Source organism: Homo sapiens, chromosome 5 (genome assembly GCF_000001405.40).
Source record: "Homo sapiens chromosome 5, GRCh38.p14 Primary Assembly".
Lineage (NCBI taxonomy): Eukaryota > Metazoa > Chordata > Mammalia > Primates > Hominidae > Homo > Homo sapiens.
Window position 1 is genome coordinate 137,303,727 of NC_000005.10, and position 17,006 is coordinate 137,320,732.

Here is a 17,006-nt window from a genome sequence, read left to right on the forward strand (position 1 = left end):
CTAGGAGTGGGCTCCTGAAGCAGGTGGTGAGGACAAAGGCCTGGAGACCAGGCTGGGGCAGCCAGGAGGGGCCCACAGAGAAGGCGTGTGACGCCTGGGACCCTGAGCAGGAATTCCAGCAACTCTTTGCCCTTCTCCTTTCTTTGTACACACTCCCTTTTCCTGTGGGCTCCCTGCTGTCCTTCTCCTTGTGCCAGGAACCGGTTTGGAAAGCCATCCCCCTTAGGAGTCTCTCAGTGTTGCAGAGAAGAAAGAAAGATGGTGATGACGTAGGCATCCTTCACTTCACACTGAAAATCTATCTACTTTTAGATGACTTTTTCCCCAAAATGCAATGGGTTTTTTTTTTTTTTTTTGGTTCTGTTATAAAAGCAATTCCTACTCATTACAGAAGAATCAAATTCTTTAGAAAAGCACAAAGAAGGGGGAAAAAATCCACCACCTCATCACCTGGAGAAAACCACAGTCAAAATTTTACATCCATAAGAAACGAGGTTTTGATGTTCAAAGGCTTGAACCCACATGTAATACTCAAGGTAGGGAAAGGAGCAATGTTCTGTTTATCTCTGCATTCCCACAGCACCTGACCGAGGCCCTGGAACACACAGGCTTGCCAATAAACCTGTGTAAACAGCAGCTCACAAGCCCTGCCCCAGCTGCTTTTCCTCTCAGGCTTCCAGAAGGCCCTCAAATGAAGGGCATATGCTTTGCCAAGTTTATCAGTTTGAAGTGTGCCAGCTGAAATGTAAGCTGAGTTGTGCGGGGCGGGGGGACAGGAACTGCAGAGTGTGTGGGGCAGTCAGGAATAGGATTTTTATGGGAAGAGGAAATTAAGAATGTGCCACAGAAGGTGCCCTGGTGAGGTCTGCAACATGGGAAACCAGCAGGTTTGGTAAGGGAGGCAGCTTCCCCCCACTGGGTGAGCAAAGCAGATTGTCTTTTCAATTGAGGAGCAAGACCCCCTGCTGCTCTGGACCAGTGGCCCATGTACCATGTGAATACCACCAGAAGGGCCTCTCTACAGAGAGGAGAGTGGATGCACTGCCCAGGCTCTACCGTGAGTGGCTGTGTGACATCAACAAGTCACTTAATCTGTGTCTCAGCTTCCTCTTCTGCCAGTGGGGGCTGTGACTGCACCTACTTTGTATGTTCGGCAGGGGAGAGTGCATCAGCTTCCTAGGGTGGCTTTAACAAAGTACCATAAACTGGGGGCTTAAACCGCACAAACTTAGTCTCTCAGTTTCGGAGGCTGGAAATCCAAAACCAAAGCGTTGGCAGAGCCACATTCCCTCTGAAAGCTGTAGGGGAGAACCCTCCCCTGCCCCTTCCTAGCTTCAACTATTAATTTACCCATAGCTTCAATTACACTCATCATTCCAATTTTATTAACCACCCTCGAATTTGCTGTAGCCCTTATTCAGGCTTATGTCTTTACACTGTTAGTAAACTCTCTCCTTACATAACACATAATGACCCACCAAACTCATGCTTATCCCATGATAAGCATCTAGTGGTTGTCGGCCACCCTGGGTGTTTGCCTGAAGGCAGTACTTCACCCTCTGCCTTGAACAGCACTCTCACCCCGTGTGTCTGTGCCCCGTGTCTCTTCTCCCTGCATAAGGATGTCTGCCATATAGGATTCAGCCCCATCCTGCTTATCTTATCCTAACTTGATTACATCTGTAAAGACCTCATTTCCAAAGGTGGTCACATTCATAGATGCCAGAGGTTAAGACTTATTCAATGCATGGCCTAGAGACTCCCTGAGATAGGGCTGGAGAAACTCACCTGGCCACCGGAAGTGCTCCATGGGATGTCAGCCACTCTGCTGTAATCAACAACACCGACAGGTTTCGGGATGGCCATTCTTAACATTTAATCTACACCATCTCCTTGTCCTCACAGCTTAACGGCCATTTAATTATGATCTCCGCTGTAAAAACACGCCTTCTCATTTAGGCTGCACCCAGTCCTACTGCCTTCACACCCAGCTCAACTCCAGTTCCTCCGTGCAAACTTCTTCACTCAAGGCAGCCAGAGTTCCCCTGAACTAGAGGCAGCCATGCTGTGAGGTTAAGAGAGCCTCAGGTCTCCTTCTTGTGCATGCTCTTTCCAAGATCTCGGAGCAGGCCCTAGCAATGCATTCACATGGATATATGTTTGCATACGATGTGCAAAAGTAAGATCTTTTAACAACAATTAGTTAAGACCTCTCTCTTTCTATCTCACCTTGTTCCAGGTAGCACTGGAATCCAGCTAAGAGGTGGGGATGTATTCAAGGAGGATTCAGTAGGGTGGACTGTGTAGTTGGTGGTCACTTCTGTGTATAGTTAGAATTACTGCTAGTCACCATGGCGTGGAAATGGCTTTCAGGAACTCACAGTAACACTTAAGAATGGGGCGAGAAGTCATGTGACAAGAGGAACACGTCATACAGTGCACAGCACTGGAAGTCCAGGAAGGTGGAGGAGAAACAAGTTCTGAAACCTATAAAGCCAGAATCTAACCTGTGGCACAACCTGCCAGTTATCAGACACATAAAACCACCATGGGGGTTTGGTGCTCGTTGCTGCCTGTTTAAAATGGAAGTTCTCATCCAATAGGAGTGTCCCCGATAACGCAGCATGTACAATCACAAATGCTCATGCTTTGTTCCTCTATCTCTGGGTGGGAGTCACATGACACAGAATTAATTAGATTCCCTGTGCTTGAGGGGAGCAGTATGACAAGCGGTGAGCAGGGGACATCTGTGTAGGAAGTTGTGTGCTTTCTTCGTCCAATTATCAAAAATAAAAAGCAAATTTCCTCAGCCATGCTAGAGGAAAGACTGAATTATCTTTTCAATCTCTCAGTAGAGAAAGATTACAAAATTGATGTCATATAAAGAGACAACCAAAAAGTATACAGCAAAAAACATAACATATGGGGAAATTTTATTATAAAGCTGTGTTGGGCAGTTAATTCACAATGTAAATCTGTTTTCTTTTTTTTTTCAGACCCGACCATGTTTGTAATGTGCATAGCTTTTTAAAGTTTATAATTTTGTGATTATTTATTTTCTCAGCCTAAACAACACATAATTTTACTCCTAAGCGTGTATATATAATTCTGTGGGGATTTTTTATAAAGAAGGCCACTATGTCATACAAGCTTTAGGCCCCACAAAATCTGGGTGCACCCATGTTTGAACAACTGCAATCTCTGAGTTTACTGCTCTCTCTGGAAAATCCAGTGGTCTCAGAATGCACTAAGCACACACAGAACCCTCCGGTAGGCCCATCCTGATGTCAGACTCCACCCTTACCCAACTCTAGTCCTTGCTAGTTGCTAGTTGTTTATCTAACCTATTTGAGCCTCAATGCTCTTGCCTGTAAAATGAGGATTGTTTATATGGTAGTGTACATATCCAACGCCCAGTAAATATTTGTTAAGTTTCCACACACTAGGAGATAAAGATACAATTATGTACAAAAGCAAGACATGATCCTTATTCTCACAGGACAAAGCTGGAGGCAGGCCTTTGCTGATGGAAGAGCCCAGCCACTTAACTGCCGTCTCCAAAATCATTTCTAACTACCAAACATACATACCCATAAGCCACAATGGCACAGTTTTGATTTACCTACTTTTCTCCAAGAACTGTTTATGCTCTCAGCCAGGGAGAAAAAACACGGCCCCACCATACAGCTAAAGCTCTCAGCCAACATGTTCTGCCACACCATCATGAGCCAATTCAATTCTGCTGCACTATGCTGAAGCTTCTCTTCTCACCATTTTTTTTGTGTTCTGGTCCATGGTTTTTACCCATTGTGGGTAACACTCATAATGGTTTGCAAAAGTTGTCTAGCAAAGGAAGAATCTGGCACATGATGCTAAAATGCCAATTTCCCAGATAAAAACCTACAGAACACAGAGCAAAGGCCAGCAGGCTTTTAGTCATTGGTGACCACTTCGGTGACTTAGAGAGCACATCATAAAAACTGCTGCAGCCTGGATGGACTGCCCTGCAGTTGTCAGAAATTGAGAGTATAATAGGCAAAGATGGATGCCTGACATGGCCTTGAGGACTTTGCCTGGAAGGGTGACTGCCAACATCTGAAGACTAGAACGCTGTGCTGCAGGGGCTCAAGTGTCATGACCTTGCATAGTGCTGACTCAGTGAGCACTTTCATTTCCAGGAACACATCCTGCACTAAACCAGGTATGCATTTCCATAATGACAAAACAAGGTAAATGTCCAAAAGAAATGAATGTGATGCCATGAGCCATGAAGATTAAAATGATGATATACACAAAGGGCTGAGCACAGTGCCTGGCAGTTAGTAAATGCTCAACAAACAGCAGGTGCTGTTAGCCTTCCTATTATCTCCCCTATTGAACTTTACTACAGAGCAGGAGCAATGTCCTATAGTTCTTTGTATTCCCAACTGGACTTCAGCCAGTGCAGGGCATGCAAAAGTACTAAAAAGATATCATCTCATTAATTCTACCAAGATTTTTCAGACACACAAAGCCTTTGGACTAAGTTGACTGATTCTCATCCTTACCAGTCATCTGCCTATTTGATCTCAGAACAATTCCTGGCTCTGCCTCTCCTCTGCTCTGCTCTGTATCAGAGAGAAAAGCATTTCTCATTCTCCTTTGACCTCTGGCTGCAGCAAGGCAGCTTTGTCCAGTGGGAGGCCCAGATGGAATGTTGGAAGGTAGAAAACCAGAAGCCAGGGCATTTCTCCCCAGCTTCCCCTGCTTTGAGGGGCACCTCAGCAGTGAGAGAGCAGTGCCATGCATCTCTTCCAGGGCCCCGGTTCCAAAGGACAGCATATCTGCGGTTCCAGCTCCTACCAGAAGGCCCTGGCTCCTGGCCTCTGGTATCATCACTGCCTCCTCCCGTGTGACCCCTAGCCCAGGGGTGGTAGCAATTTCTTGCTCCTCTCAGCTCTTTCATCTCCTGTGTAACCAATTCCCTGTATAAAATATTTTCCATTTAAAACACCTATTATGGGTCTGTTTTCCTGATTGGACCCTGACAGATACACCATCTAAAGAAGAATTTTTATACAACCATCCTATGGAGTACTCAGCAGCCATTAGAAACAATGATACATATCTAAACATACTGATGTATAAAGATGACTGAGGGTTATGGTGAAGAGAACCAGAAGACAGTGAAACAGTGTTATACCCAGAGAGCAGACGTTGAGAAGTATGCACATTTACACACTTAAAAAAAATGACTGGAGAAATATACATAACATTTTGACTGTGGTTATCTCCAGGTGGTGAGATGCTGGATTTTTTCCCCCTTCTTTGTGCTTTTCTAAAGAATTTGATTATTCTGTAATGAGTAGGAATTGCTTTAATATCAGAACAAAAAAAAATTTCCCATTGCATTTTGGGGAAAAAGTCATCTAAAAGTAGATAGATCTTCAGTGTGAAGTGAAGGATGCATACATCATTGCCATCTTTCTTTCTCCTCTGTAACACTGAGAGACTCCCAAGGGGAACAGCTTTCCAAACTGGTTCCTGGCACAAGGAGAGGGGCAGCAGAGAGCCCATAAGAAAACTGTATGGATAAGGAGAAGGGCAAAGAGTTCCTGGAATTCCTGCTCAGGGTCCCAGGTGCCAGGCACCTCCTCTGTGGGCTCCTCTTGGCCGCCCCAGCCTGGTCTCCAGGCCTTTGTCCTCACCACCTGTTTCAGGAGCCCACTCCAGCTCCCTAGGAACCAAACCAAACCTCCCCTCCTCCTGAAGCCTTGCCCACTTTCTCAGCCAGGCATTGTTATTCTCCACCCAGTGCCTGCTCCTTTCCTCTTGGGACATGCACTAAACACATCCTATGTGTCTGATGAGTACATTGATCCTCTGTCATGGGTTGAGTGCGCTATAACCTGATTCTCACTCACTGTAATTATCTGTTAATAACAAACTCAAAAATGAGCCCAAATCCTGGTCCTGCCACTTAAAATCTGTGTTTCTATGTGTGCAGATTACTTATCTTCGCTGAGCTCTAAGTTAAGGCTACAGAGACTTATCACATAGAATGATCCTGAGGATTAAATAAGAAAATGCATGTGAAGCATCTAGTATCATGCCTCCCAAGTAGGAGGTGCTCAAACAGTGAGTACCCCCCATTCAATTTATAGTTTCTACTTTTCCAAGAGGGTCTGACATATCACATGTCATAGGCATTCTATAAATAGTTGTTACTTAATGTCTCTTTTTCCACATATACATCATTAATCTAGTTACCGAGGAACCTTCACTCAAAATTGCTTGCCTCTTTGTACAATAACCCCAGAGGCACAAAAGCCTAAAGAGAGCATAGACTTTCAAGCCAGGATCCTGTGATTCTTCCAATTCAGGTGGCACCACTCACTAGCTGTGTGTCTCAGCCAAGTTACTGAACCTCTCTGAGCCAGTTCTGTAGAATGGAAAAGACATTACCTTCTTCAAAAGGAGTCTTAAAAGGATTAAATGAGAAAACGTAGGCGCAAAGTGCTTAACACAGCTCCCAGCATGGGCAGTCTCTATAAATAGAAGTTCCTGTCTCTCCCATTTAAATGAATGGCACCAAGCTTTTCTGAGCTCAGGAAAAAAGTAAGCAGACCTCGCTGTAATTATAAACACCACAGCATAATGGCATCCAGGTGGAACCATGCTAGTGTCATCCTCATTTAAGAATTTTATATCGTCTACTGAGTTATTAGCTATAAGAAGCCATTCCCCAGAGGAGACTACAGTTGAAATAATTGTTTTGAAGAAAGTAGGGTGGATCAACATGCCAGAATCATTAATCATCAAAACAGCAACATATACTTGATGAGCTGGCCTCTGTGGAACTTGCTTTCTGTGACGAAAGGAGAATTTGCACAAAAATCTCCAGCCCTGTCATCCAACAACTCTTTGGCATTTTTCCTATATCTGCCCTGTTCCACTCAAACAAAGTGGGAATCTGCATCTGAAAATGACAGTTCCAATGGAGGATGGACCTCATCATTAATTGCTGCAAAGCTGCAAGGGTTTAATGGGTTTATTAATGAATTAATAATTTGGAGAACACTTACTGGCTATTTTCTACTGAATAACATCCATGTAAAACTGCAAAAGCCACCCAGGAAATGAGAAACTATGATGCTGAACAGAAGAAAAAGCTACCTCCCCCAGATGCAGGTAACACACAGCTTTAAAATCAATTTGACCCTCATGACAAAGGAACAGAAGGACTGCTCAATTCCCTAACACAGGCACCCTCTGTGAGGGAACAGGCCTTGGGGAACCCTTCTCTCATTCAAGAGCAAACCTCCGGAAGGCCAGTCTGAAAATCTATGTGTTTTCCTCTTAAAAAGCACATTTCCAAATGGGTACTAGGATCTCAGGCCACAAGGTAGAGCCTCTGAGTGTTGGTTTAACAAACAGAGATAATCCAAAAGGGATAAATTCAAAGTCATCTCTTTTCCCCATTGGCTTCAGAATGTCATGGTTTAATTTTAACCAGAACAAAAGCACTGATCCCAGAAAAAAAAAGATGAATCTTCTGGATACCTACTATGTGCTAAGCACCTCCCTACATTCTCTTGTTGAGGGGTGGGAAGGAGGGTGACTGCAAATTTCTGTCTGTTCCTGAGCCACCATGCTAATGTTTGGTTTTCAATCTGGACCGCATATTAAAACCACCTGGGGAGTATTAAAACATACCACTGTCTTGGATACCTTACAAATGTTCTTCTTCCATAAATAATTACAACAAGCATATATAACAGATAAGGATATTCCCACTCTGTTAAACCTCAGTTTCTTCATCTGCAAGCATAAGTAATGTGTCCAACATAATTTTAAATAATTTCAAACTATCTACTCCGCTCTTTTCCTTCAGTCTAATCTTTACACACACATAAGCACATGTGTACACTTTTATTGACTTTTCTCCTTTTGATAAATATCATGTATACTCTGAAAAATATATAAATATGTAAAAATTTTAAAATAATCACCTGAAAGCAGAACTCCCAGGAAGAATCACTGTTAACATTTTGATGTCTGCCTAGTCAGTCTTTTTGTATACTGTTTTTTAATTATGAAAGAATAGGATAAGTCTGTACCCAGTCTTTTGTAACCTGCTTTTTACACTTAATAAAGCATGAACTTTGCTTCATATCATTAAATATTCTACAGCATCATTTTAGTGGCTGCCTAGCATCGCAGTGTATGCCTGTGCCCTAATTTACTTAGCTCGCCTGAATTAATTAGGCTTTACTGTCTGACAAAAGTTAGTCTTCCATTTCTATCCCCAAACTAGAAAAATCAGGTACCCAGGTATTTGAAAATGTGGAGACACTTTCATTGCTTGGCACGTAGCTCCATTAATATGCCAATTCTTTCGGGTACTTCTTTTTCAAAGAGATCCTAGTCACATCTCATTTCAATAAATGCCTGGAAACCCCCTAGGGGATGGCTCAATATTCAAACTCAACTCCCTTAAATCCCTAGCAGCAGAGCTGGCCTGAAAGAGCTTACCATGCCTGGTCCCAGGCAGCCTGCTGTCAGGAGAGGTGGAGAGGGAAGGAATGTCACAGGTTCCAGACTCCAGGGTCTGGCCTAGTCTTGGGACCTCAGAGGGTCATGGATCTGCTTGATCTCATCCCCACAGCACTCAAATGAGAGAGACCTCCTCCAGGAGGGTTGGAGAATAAAGCAAAAAATTGCTGAGGCCTTCAGGAAAACCATGCCATAAACAGTCAAAACCCTTTGTCACCACACTGGTGAGGAAGGACCAGAATTTTGGTTGTTTTTTTTAAATTTTTTGTTGTTGTTGTTTTCTCTTAATTTAAATTCAGATGCTGGGTTACGAATTATATTATTCCAAGAAGTGCCAATGCAGGAGCCCACAGCTGTCAGGAATCTGGGGTGGTTTAGGTTGGAATGTGTGCTCTTTCAGGAGCAGCAGGCCCATCCTTCAAGCACACAGCGAGTAGGGTACAGTGGATAGGGTACAGTGGACAGGAAAGCACCCACAGGGGCTGTGTATAGAGGTTCTGAAAAGAGATGCTCTCTCTGCCCCAAAATCCTACTTCTATCTCTCTCCCATCATCCCCATCCAGTAAATTGTCCACTTGCAGGAGATTCCTTTGTGTTAGGAGGACTTCTCTGAAGACTAAATGCTACTGGAGGAGGAATGCCCACTTCTGTGTAGATCTGAAGGATGACAGCTACCATCAGGCCACAGTCAACCAGGGACAGGCCCATTTTCCTACTGGCAGGTAAACATGAATCCCAACCAGGAGTATCCTGGGTTGCTGTCTTCCCCGTGCAGCTCCTACAGTAAAAGAAAGGCTAGACCCAGGAGAACACAATGCCACCTACTTGGGGTAACAGAGGGTGGGGTTAAGTTACCTGGACCAAAATGTGTCCCTACCATCCATTCCCAAAAGTGCCTGAAATTCCCACAGTTAGAGTCTCTCCTAAAAGCCCAGTGGAGATGTGTGTGTTTTAATAAACATAAAGCATTATACTTTTGGAGCAACACATAAGCCAGTCCCTGCTATACTCATTAATTCTATTAGCCTTATTGATAGGACACTACAATCATTTAGTTGGAAGTAGGGATGAGGTATGGGCACACAGAAGAGCCAGACATTGACAGGACAAAAAGATTAAAGAGAAGAAAAGTAAAGCCCAGCATTTTGCTTCAGAAAGTGTCTTACCTGCTGCAAGGGGTGGTCTCAGGAAATCATCAGGGCACAGGCCGGGCACCTGTGACACCCACCCAAAACAAGGACACCAGCAGCCTCAGAAGGGATCCATAGGAGAGTCACAGGCTCCAGCCTGCCTCCTACCTCCTCTTAAAATGAACCTGACCCCATTCTTCTAAGCTCCCAGAACATATTGCTACTTTGCACAAATATAGATGCTCTGGGGAAAACAATCATCCAAGTCTATCCAAGCTACAACCCACTGCTTGGCCAGGAGGCCACCCTACCCTACCCAGCTGCTGCCTATAGTTCTTCCAGAGCTCCTTGGACCAAGGGCATTTACAAAAGGGTTGCATTCATGCATGACAGGAAAAGGAACCATTTTCCTACCTAGCTCTTTCTGATCATATACTGCAAGGCTCCACATCCTGGGGGAAATGAAGAACCCCTTTATAAATGCTTCCCACAGAAGAGAGCAGCAGCAGAACTGACATACGCTCACAACAGGGAGATAAGGAGACTCTGGCTAGAGCCTGCTTTTTGTGTTCCCAGATGGTCCTGCACCACACCCACCTGCAGACATCCAAGCTCTCCTCCCATCGTCCTCTCAGAGCTCCTTGTCTCTAGATCATCTCAATTCAGTTTGGCCTCAAGCTCTGAGCTCTACCCCTTAGGCTTTCCTGCCCAGGGGCTTTATCCCAGTTAACCCTCCATTTCTCCCCAGCCCCTCCCCAGCCTGACAGTCTCTGAGGACAAGCAGTGCCCATCTCATTTCCTTTTCTTGGCTCATTTTAATTAACAAGGCAACCAGGCACATCACTGCTCATCAGTGAATAAGGACCAGAAAACATCATTCTCTCACATGATACTGGGACAATTCTTACTTTCTAATACCAGTTCAAAGGCCTCCAAACTCCAGCCTCACAAACGCTACCATCTCTGCACTCTAGTATCTCCACCAGCTTCTGTGGGCTTGATTTAGAAGTGACACATGATTCCACAGAAGGAAGACAGGACTTGGCACATAACAAACCTGTACTGCAACCCCAGTTCTTCCAATGACAAGCTTTCTGAGTCTCATTTTCCTCACCTGTACAACAGAGATAATAAAACCTGCTTTGGGGATTTTCAAAAAATTAATTAGAAATGCCATCTATAAAGCACCCAGCAGAGTGCCAGGAACACACACTCTGTTCTCTATGAAAAGTAGCCAGTATCAGTATTTGTCACCTGTCTATTGTTTATCCACAGCTACAGTCCTTAGCTATCGGTTTACTGCCTGGCTCTATTTAAAAGGACATATGGGATCCTGCCATATTTAAAGGTTTTAGAGTGCATGGACCACGTTTTCCATGTTCTCTTTACTCCTCCACTGCCTCTCATCCTGAGCTCAGCACCAGCACCAAGCAGGTGCTCCATAAATTAGGCTCTCAGGACAACCCCAGCCAGTTCCATGTCTTTAATTGGCTTTACTGAGATAGTAGTGTTTAAAACTGTCTGTCCACCTACATGCACCAGCTCAGTCTCAATACCCAGCAGAAATGAGTTGTCTTCAGGAACATTTGAAAGAGTGGCTGTATGCACCAAAGTCAGCTTCAGTATGCACCAAATCCTGTAGCTTCTCTAAAATAGGAACCCTCACCTGTCTGCTTACCCCTGCCAATCCCGACAGGTCCCTACTCTTCTCTGATAGGGAAAAAAAATGGCAAAAGCTAGAACTAGAACTATGTCAAGGAATAGTTTCACTGTCTTAGCTAAAAATCCATCTCCTTCCACTAGGAAGCCTTCCAAGGTTCACCATGGACAGAATTCAACACTAATCCTCAGTGACTCTCTGTATTTCATATTCCATGGGGCTGTACTCCATGGAACTGTAATTCTCTCTCCATCTCATCTGTCATTCTCATGAGGCTATGAGTTCCAAGGATCTGTCTTCAACTCTGAACCACGTATGGCGATGGATAGAGAATACAGGTTCAGCAAACTTTTGATGAATAACTTAGCAGCCTTGTGAAGCAGATATGGCATCCCACAACCCCCCCACCATCTCCACTTTGATACATGAGAAGCAGTAGCTAGGAGCAACTGAGCACTTTACCTTCAATGCCTCTGTTTTACACAGGAGAGAAAGGAGACCTCCATGCCAGGACATGCCACCAGAGCACATCGAGTGGCCTCCTGCTGCACTGATGGCTCAAGGCTCTCACAAACACCCCTTTGAGGTCATTTCATGATCATTATTTGCCATCTTCTCCTCTGGACAGTTAGCTTCCTGAGACTAGGCACAGTGTCTGTCTCCTCCCACTGTGTCCAGCACTAGCAAGGCAGGCAGGCTGTAGGTTCCCATGAAGATCTGCTGAAATGATACAGACAACTTATCCGTCCCTCTCTGCTTCTCAGACTTCATGGTGCCTATGAATCCCCAGGAGATCTTATTAAAATGCAGATTTTGACTCAGTAGGTCCTAGGGGAGTTGGGGGCAGGGTGCTGGAGAGTCAGCCTTTCTGATAGCTCCCAGGTTATGCCAAGGCCACTGGAAAGCAGACTGCCTTCTGAGAGGTGAGCCGCTAGTTGTTGAAGGCTTGGCTGGTCGTTCACTTGTGCTATGACAAAATACCTGAGACTTGGGTCATTTATAAAGGACAGAAACTCATTTCTCACAGTTCTGGAAGCCGGGAAATCCAAGATTGAAGTGATAGCATCTGGCATCCAAGGAGGGATGTACCGTCCAAAGGGGAGGAACACTGTGTGCTCACATGGTGGAAGGACGAGAGCCAAATGCTACTGTGTGAAGCCTCTTTTATAAGAGTCATAATCCCACTCATGAAGGACATGCCCTCAAATCATCTCTCAAAGGACCCACCTCTGAATGCTATCAAATGAGCAACACCTGAATTTGGGAAGTGATGCATTCAAATCACAGCGGCTAGCTAGAAAAAATCCTTTTATGTTCTAAAAAGAAGTTTGTCTTTCCTGAGCACTTGGGGTTGTCCTTTCTTTCAGCTATGATGTGAGCCCTCCCTCCTGGTCCTTGATATCATGTGATTCAAGGAATTCGAGCAAAGTTTCAGCCCTGAAGAGCTAAAGGCTGAGAGCTGGAGAACCTGCCAGTTGAATCCCCTCTCTGCTAGCTTCCAGGCCCACAACCAGGACTTGTGACTCACAGTTTATTATTGACAACCTGGCCTTGGCAGCAGGAGTATTTTTGGATGCCTTTACTCTTAAATCCCTGGAATTCAGAACTGTACAAGTTAAACCTTATTCTAACTACTTTTTTCCTTGCAGTTTTCATCTCTAGCTCCTCTGCCCTCTGAATATTTCATTCATGCCCAAGACAGAGTCTTAAATTGCAGGAAACCAGAATTCTGCAGATCAATTAGCCTAACTCACAACATGTAATTTTTCTTATTTAACAGTTAGAATAACACCATTTCTGTGTTCAGCGTGGGCCCGCTCTGTGCCCACTGGAAAACAAATCTACCTGCCTTTGGAGGAGATCCATTTAAGAACCAAAGCCCCCATGGTGCCTCATCATCTAAGAAGGGTGACACTGTGAATCCTTCTGAGGATTACTCTTTTTTCCAAGCTGATAAGAGCTCTGAATGGCCACTCAGCTAGGAAGATCAAGCAGCCCACCTTCTTCCAAGGGCCTCTGGGCACAACATGGATGGTCCTTGATTTTACTGCTTGGCTGAGGCAGAGGGGCATGTCTTTTGGCAGAGGTGAGTGCGGGTATCCTGGGGGAGAGTCTCTGGTCACCAACTACAGCCCTTGTCTCCCTCCCAGTTTTCACTACAGCTAGATAAGCACAGAGGGCTTTGTAAGAAATGTTCAGTCAAGAAGCAGAAAGAGCCTCTGCTTTTAGGTCCTACAGTGAAATTGCTGGAAGCCTTTTCTTCCTTGTTCCTTCCATCTCCTGGCCATGGAGTAAGGGTAGTGAGATCTGGTGGTCTCCAACCTTCAGGGACTTCAGGGGATTCGTCCCTGACCTATATTACTGCCGTTTTGGTGCAATGCAGGACACTGGAGAGGACATGGGCTTCAGCAGATCAGGAATAGGTGAGTTTCAGGAATGGATGGAGGGAAGCTCCAGTCAGATGGGAATGTTTAAAAACAAAACTGAAATTCTAACGGTGTACACAGCATAGTTAAAACATCCTTGTCAAAAAAGCCTCTTGGACACACGTTTCAGGAAATGAAGGCTCAGCTCCACAGGTATTGTTCTTCACCATGTCTGACACGTCAACCCTACAAGTCAACAGGTTGAAGAAAAGTCTGGCATTCACAGAAATAAAACATTACTGCAAGGCCACCTCCTTCCTCCAGAATGTGAAGCATTCATGACAAAAGAGAGAATTCACTAACCATAATCTACAAATAAAACTAGTCACGATGGGCATATTTTCTCTTATTTTACTCCATCAGATGAAACTAGTTTCCAAGATCCGCATAGCTATCAATTTCCCCCCTCAATTCATATTTTTATTCTTCTCAGTAGACACTTTATTTTTGTAAGCTGTACCCAGTTTTGTTTTGATAGCTCACCAGAACCTGGAGTAACAAATACTTTTAATTTGATTATTTAAAAAGTCTCATTAATTTTTCAAGCCACACAACATACACAAGCACAAATGAATTCACCAGACACCTGCAACCAGTGAAGGTTAATAGTCATTTAATGTAACTGCATACGTTACAAGCAATCTTCCTGTCCCACTGCATTTTCAAAGACCACATAAATATGTAATCCATTCCTCTTTTTTCCTATCGTAACATTCCACTGGGGCGATTCTGATGAGCTGTCCCCCCGCTGCCTCCACAGTAAAGTGCTGCGCAGTGGCTGATGGATAGATACTGGGTTTGAGTAAAGAGGATTTCTGCAGCCATCCATAAACCCAGCTCATTTAAATTGGTAGCTGTCGACTACCTGAGAAGAAAGAAAAGGCTGTCCTTAAATAATAAAAAAAGCATGGCTCTATTGTCTAGAATGTCAAGCAGAATTCCTATTTCCAGGTAGCAGCACTGAGGGACCACCTGATTATAATGAGGGGTTTGTCTGTCTTCTCAGCCCAGTCTCCTGGGAATCCCTCTCAGTACCTTGAGAAGAGGTAAGAGTGCTCGAGATTCCTCTCCCTGTAACTAGGGTTCTGGTGGATGGTGAGCCAGATAATTGTTTAGATGGCCAAGTGGGTTTGAAGTGGAAATAGAAACAAATCCAGGATGTTACTAGGAGACTACCCTTTGATTAATGGGAATTCAAAGATGAAACAAGTATTGCCTATTGTTTAATTTTCCCTTCTTTGAAAGTAAAGTGTTTGGGGAGAAAGCTAAGACTCTAAAAACCAGAGCATATATGAGACAGCACAGAGCAGGCCCTCCTTAAACTTTTCTCTTGGTCAAGATAAAATTTTTCCTAATCCCAAGACATGCTGCTGAGGGCAGAGACACTCAATAATGTGGATTTACTGACCGATTCACCTGCTTCTCTGTAGGAAATCAAAGTTCATTCATTCACAGACTTGCTCAGTGACAGAAGACGTTTAATAGATGTCATTCTATCCAGGGCATACAATTCATGCTTTAGCCCCTAAAATTTGCCAAGCAGTGCAGTTGAAAGCTAAAAAACATAAGTCACTTTCTCTATATCAGCAGTTCAAGTTTGTCCAATCTCTGCCCTCAGAGAAAAGAGGAGGCACACACAAATTCCAAGACTATATATCATGAAGGTTATGGAGCCTGTTTGAGACATCACAGAAACTACCCAGCTGAATTTTAAGCTGCCTCTCATCAGAGAACTGAGGATTCACAGATTTCCAGGGAAATTGCATTTTGAGGGAAATTCTTCTAGGTAAAAACCCATATAATTCAATGATGAATATTTCCTTTGGCCTTTAATTGATTTACAAGCAATGCTCCATGGCTAGCTTTAGGTGAAAGATCTATTAATTTAAAACCATTCATTACCCCTTTCTTTCATCTAACACATTTTTCCAATATGCTTATTGTTCACTATAAGTAACAGATTGACATCTCTCCAAGAGCAAGTCCTTTTAATACTTGTAAATGGTTTCTTGGAAGGCATCAATGATAAAACTAGTTATGTTTTCAGTAGAGTGATGCTAGGATACACTTTTATGCAATGCCATAAAACTATCCTTCTTATTTAAGTAGCATCAGCAAGACAGTAGAATAGGAAACCCGAGAGCTCACTTCACAACAGAAACACCAGCTTTAACAACAACACATGAGGCCGGGCGCGGTGGCTCACGCCTGTAATCCCAGCACTTTGGGAGGCCGAGGCGGGTGGATCATGAGGTCAGGAGATCGAGACCATCCTGGCTAACAAGGTGAAACCCCGTCTCTACTAAAAATACAAAAAATTAGCCAGGCGCGGTGGCGGGCGCCTGTAGTCCCAGCTACTCGGGAGGCTGAGGCAGGAGAATGGCGTGAACCCGGGAAGCGGAGCTTGCAGTGAGCCGAGATTGCGCCACTGCAGTCCGCAGTCCGGCCTGGGCGACAGAGCGAGACTCCGTCTCAAAAAAAAAAAAAAAAAAAAAACAACACATGATCCAAAAAGCCTTTATGAGAACTCCAGAATTCAGTTAGGAAGTCACAGTACCCCAGGCAACTCAAAATCAAGAACAGCTACATTGAAATGGGTAACAAAAAGCTATTTTATTCCAACTGCATCAATCCTTCTCCCAAGCCAGCACAGCTCATGATCAAAAAGAAGAGTCCAACTTGTGGATTCTCCCTTGGGAGGGAAATTGAAGAAATTGAAACACTTCCAATGTTCCAGCTTTTCAGGAAACTGCCCAAGGGACTGGTTTCTGTCCTGCCTGATTCAGAGTGCTGATGGGAAACTGACATACCTTGGATGCCTGGTATCCACAGAGAACAAAAGAGAGCTCAGAAGCTTGTGGCAGCACCAGAGAACTTGTAGTATCACACAGAGACACCAGCACAGCTTGCCACAATTTTCAGAAAGCACCCAACTCATGGCTTCTCCACTGGGAGGGAAAGGAAGGGTGGAATGTATATATTGTGTTCTGGCTTTTCAAGGGCTGCTAGAAGGAGTGGTTTCTGTTTTGCCTGACTTAGAGTGCTGACAGACTTAGAAAACTTTGGATACCTGGGAGCCAGAGAACAGAAAAGAGCTCAATGCCAGAAAAAGCGCCAGAAAACCTGAAATACCTCATACAGACACCAGAGGGAGCAAGAGGCTACAAGCGCCTGAAAAAGAGACCAGCAAATCTCTCTAAATGGGAAATTACACACACAAGCCTAGAAAAGATTTCTCTCCCCAAAAGGTTAAGA

At 44.2% G+C, this 17,006-nt stretch overlaps 1 protein-coding gene across 1 annotated transcript in view, besides 1 other annotated feature; it reads right to left on the reverse strand.

Moving 5' to 3' along the window:
- The window catches only part of SPOCK1 (SPARC (osteonectin), cwcv and kazal like domains proteoglycan 1), a 524,029-nt gene that overhangs the window by 328,429 nt on the left and 178,594 nt on the right, over positions 1–17,006 (reverse strand). The window lies entirely within an intron of this gene.
- Positions 16,028–16,527: an enhancer, noted in NCBI's record as "H3K4me1 hESC enhancer chr5:136655443-136655942 (GRCh37/hg19 assembly coordinates)". NCBI's record gives its function as "activates a minimal SCP1, AML or CMV promoter by ChIP-STARR-seq in naive H9 embryonic stem cells {active_cell/tissue: H9 hESC(naive)}" and the evidence as "EXISTENCE:reporter gene assay evidence [ECO:0000049][PMID:30033119]".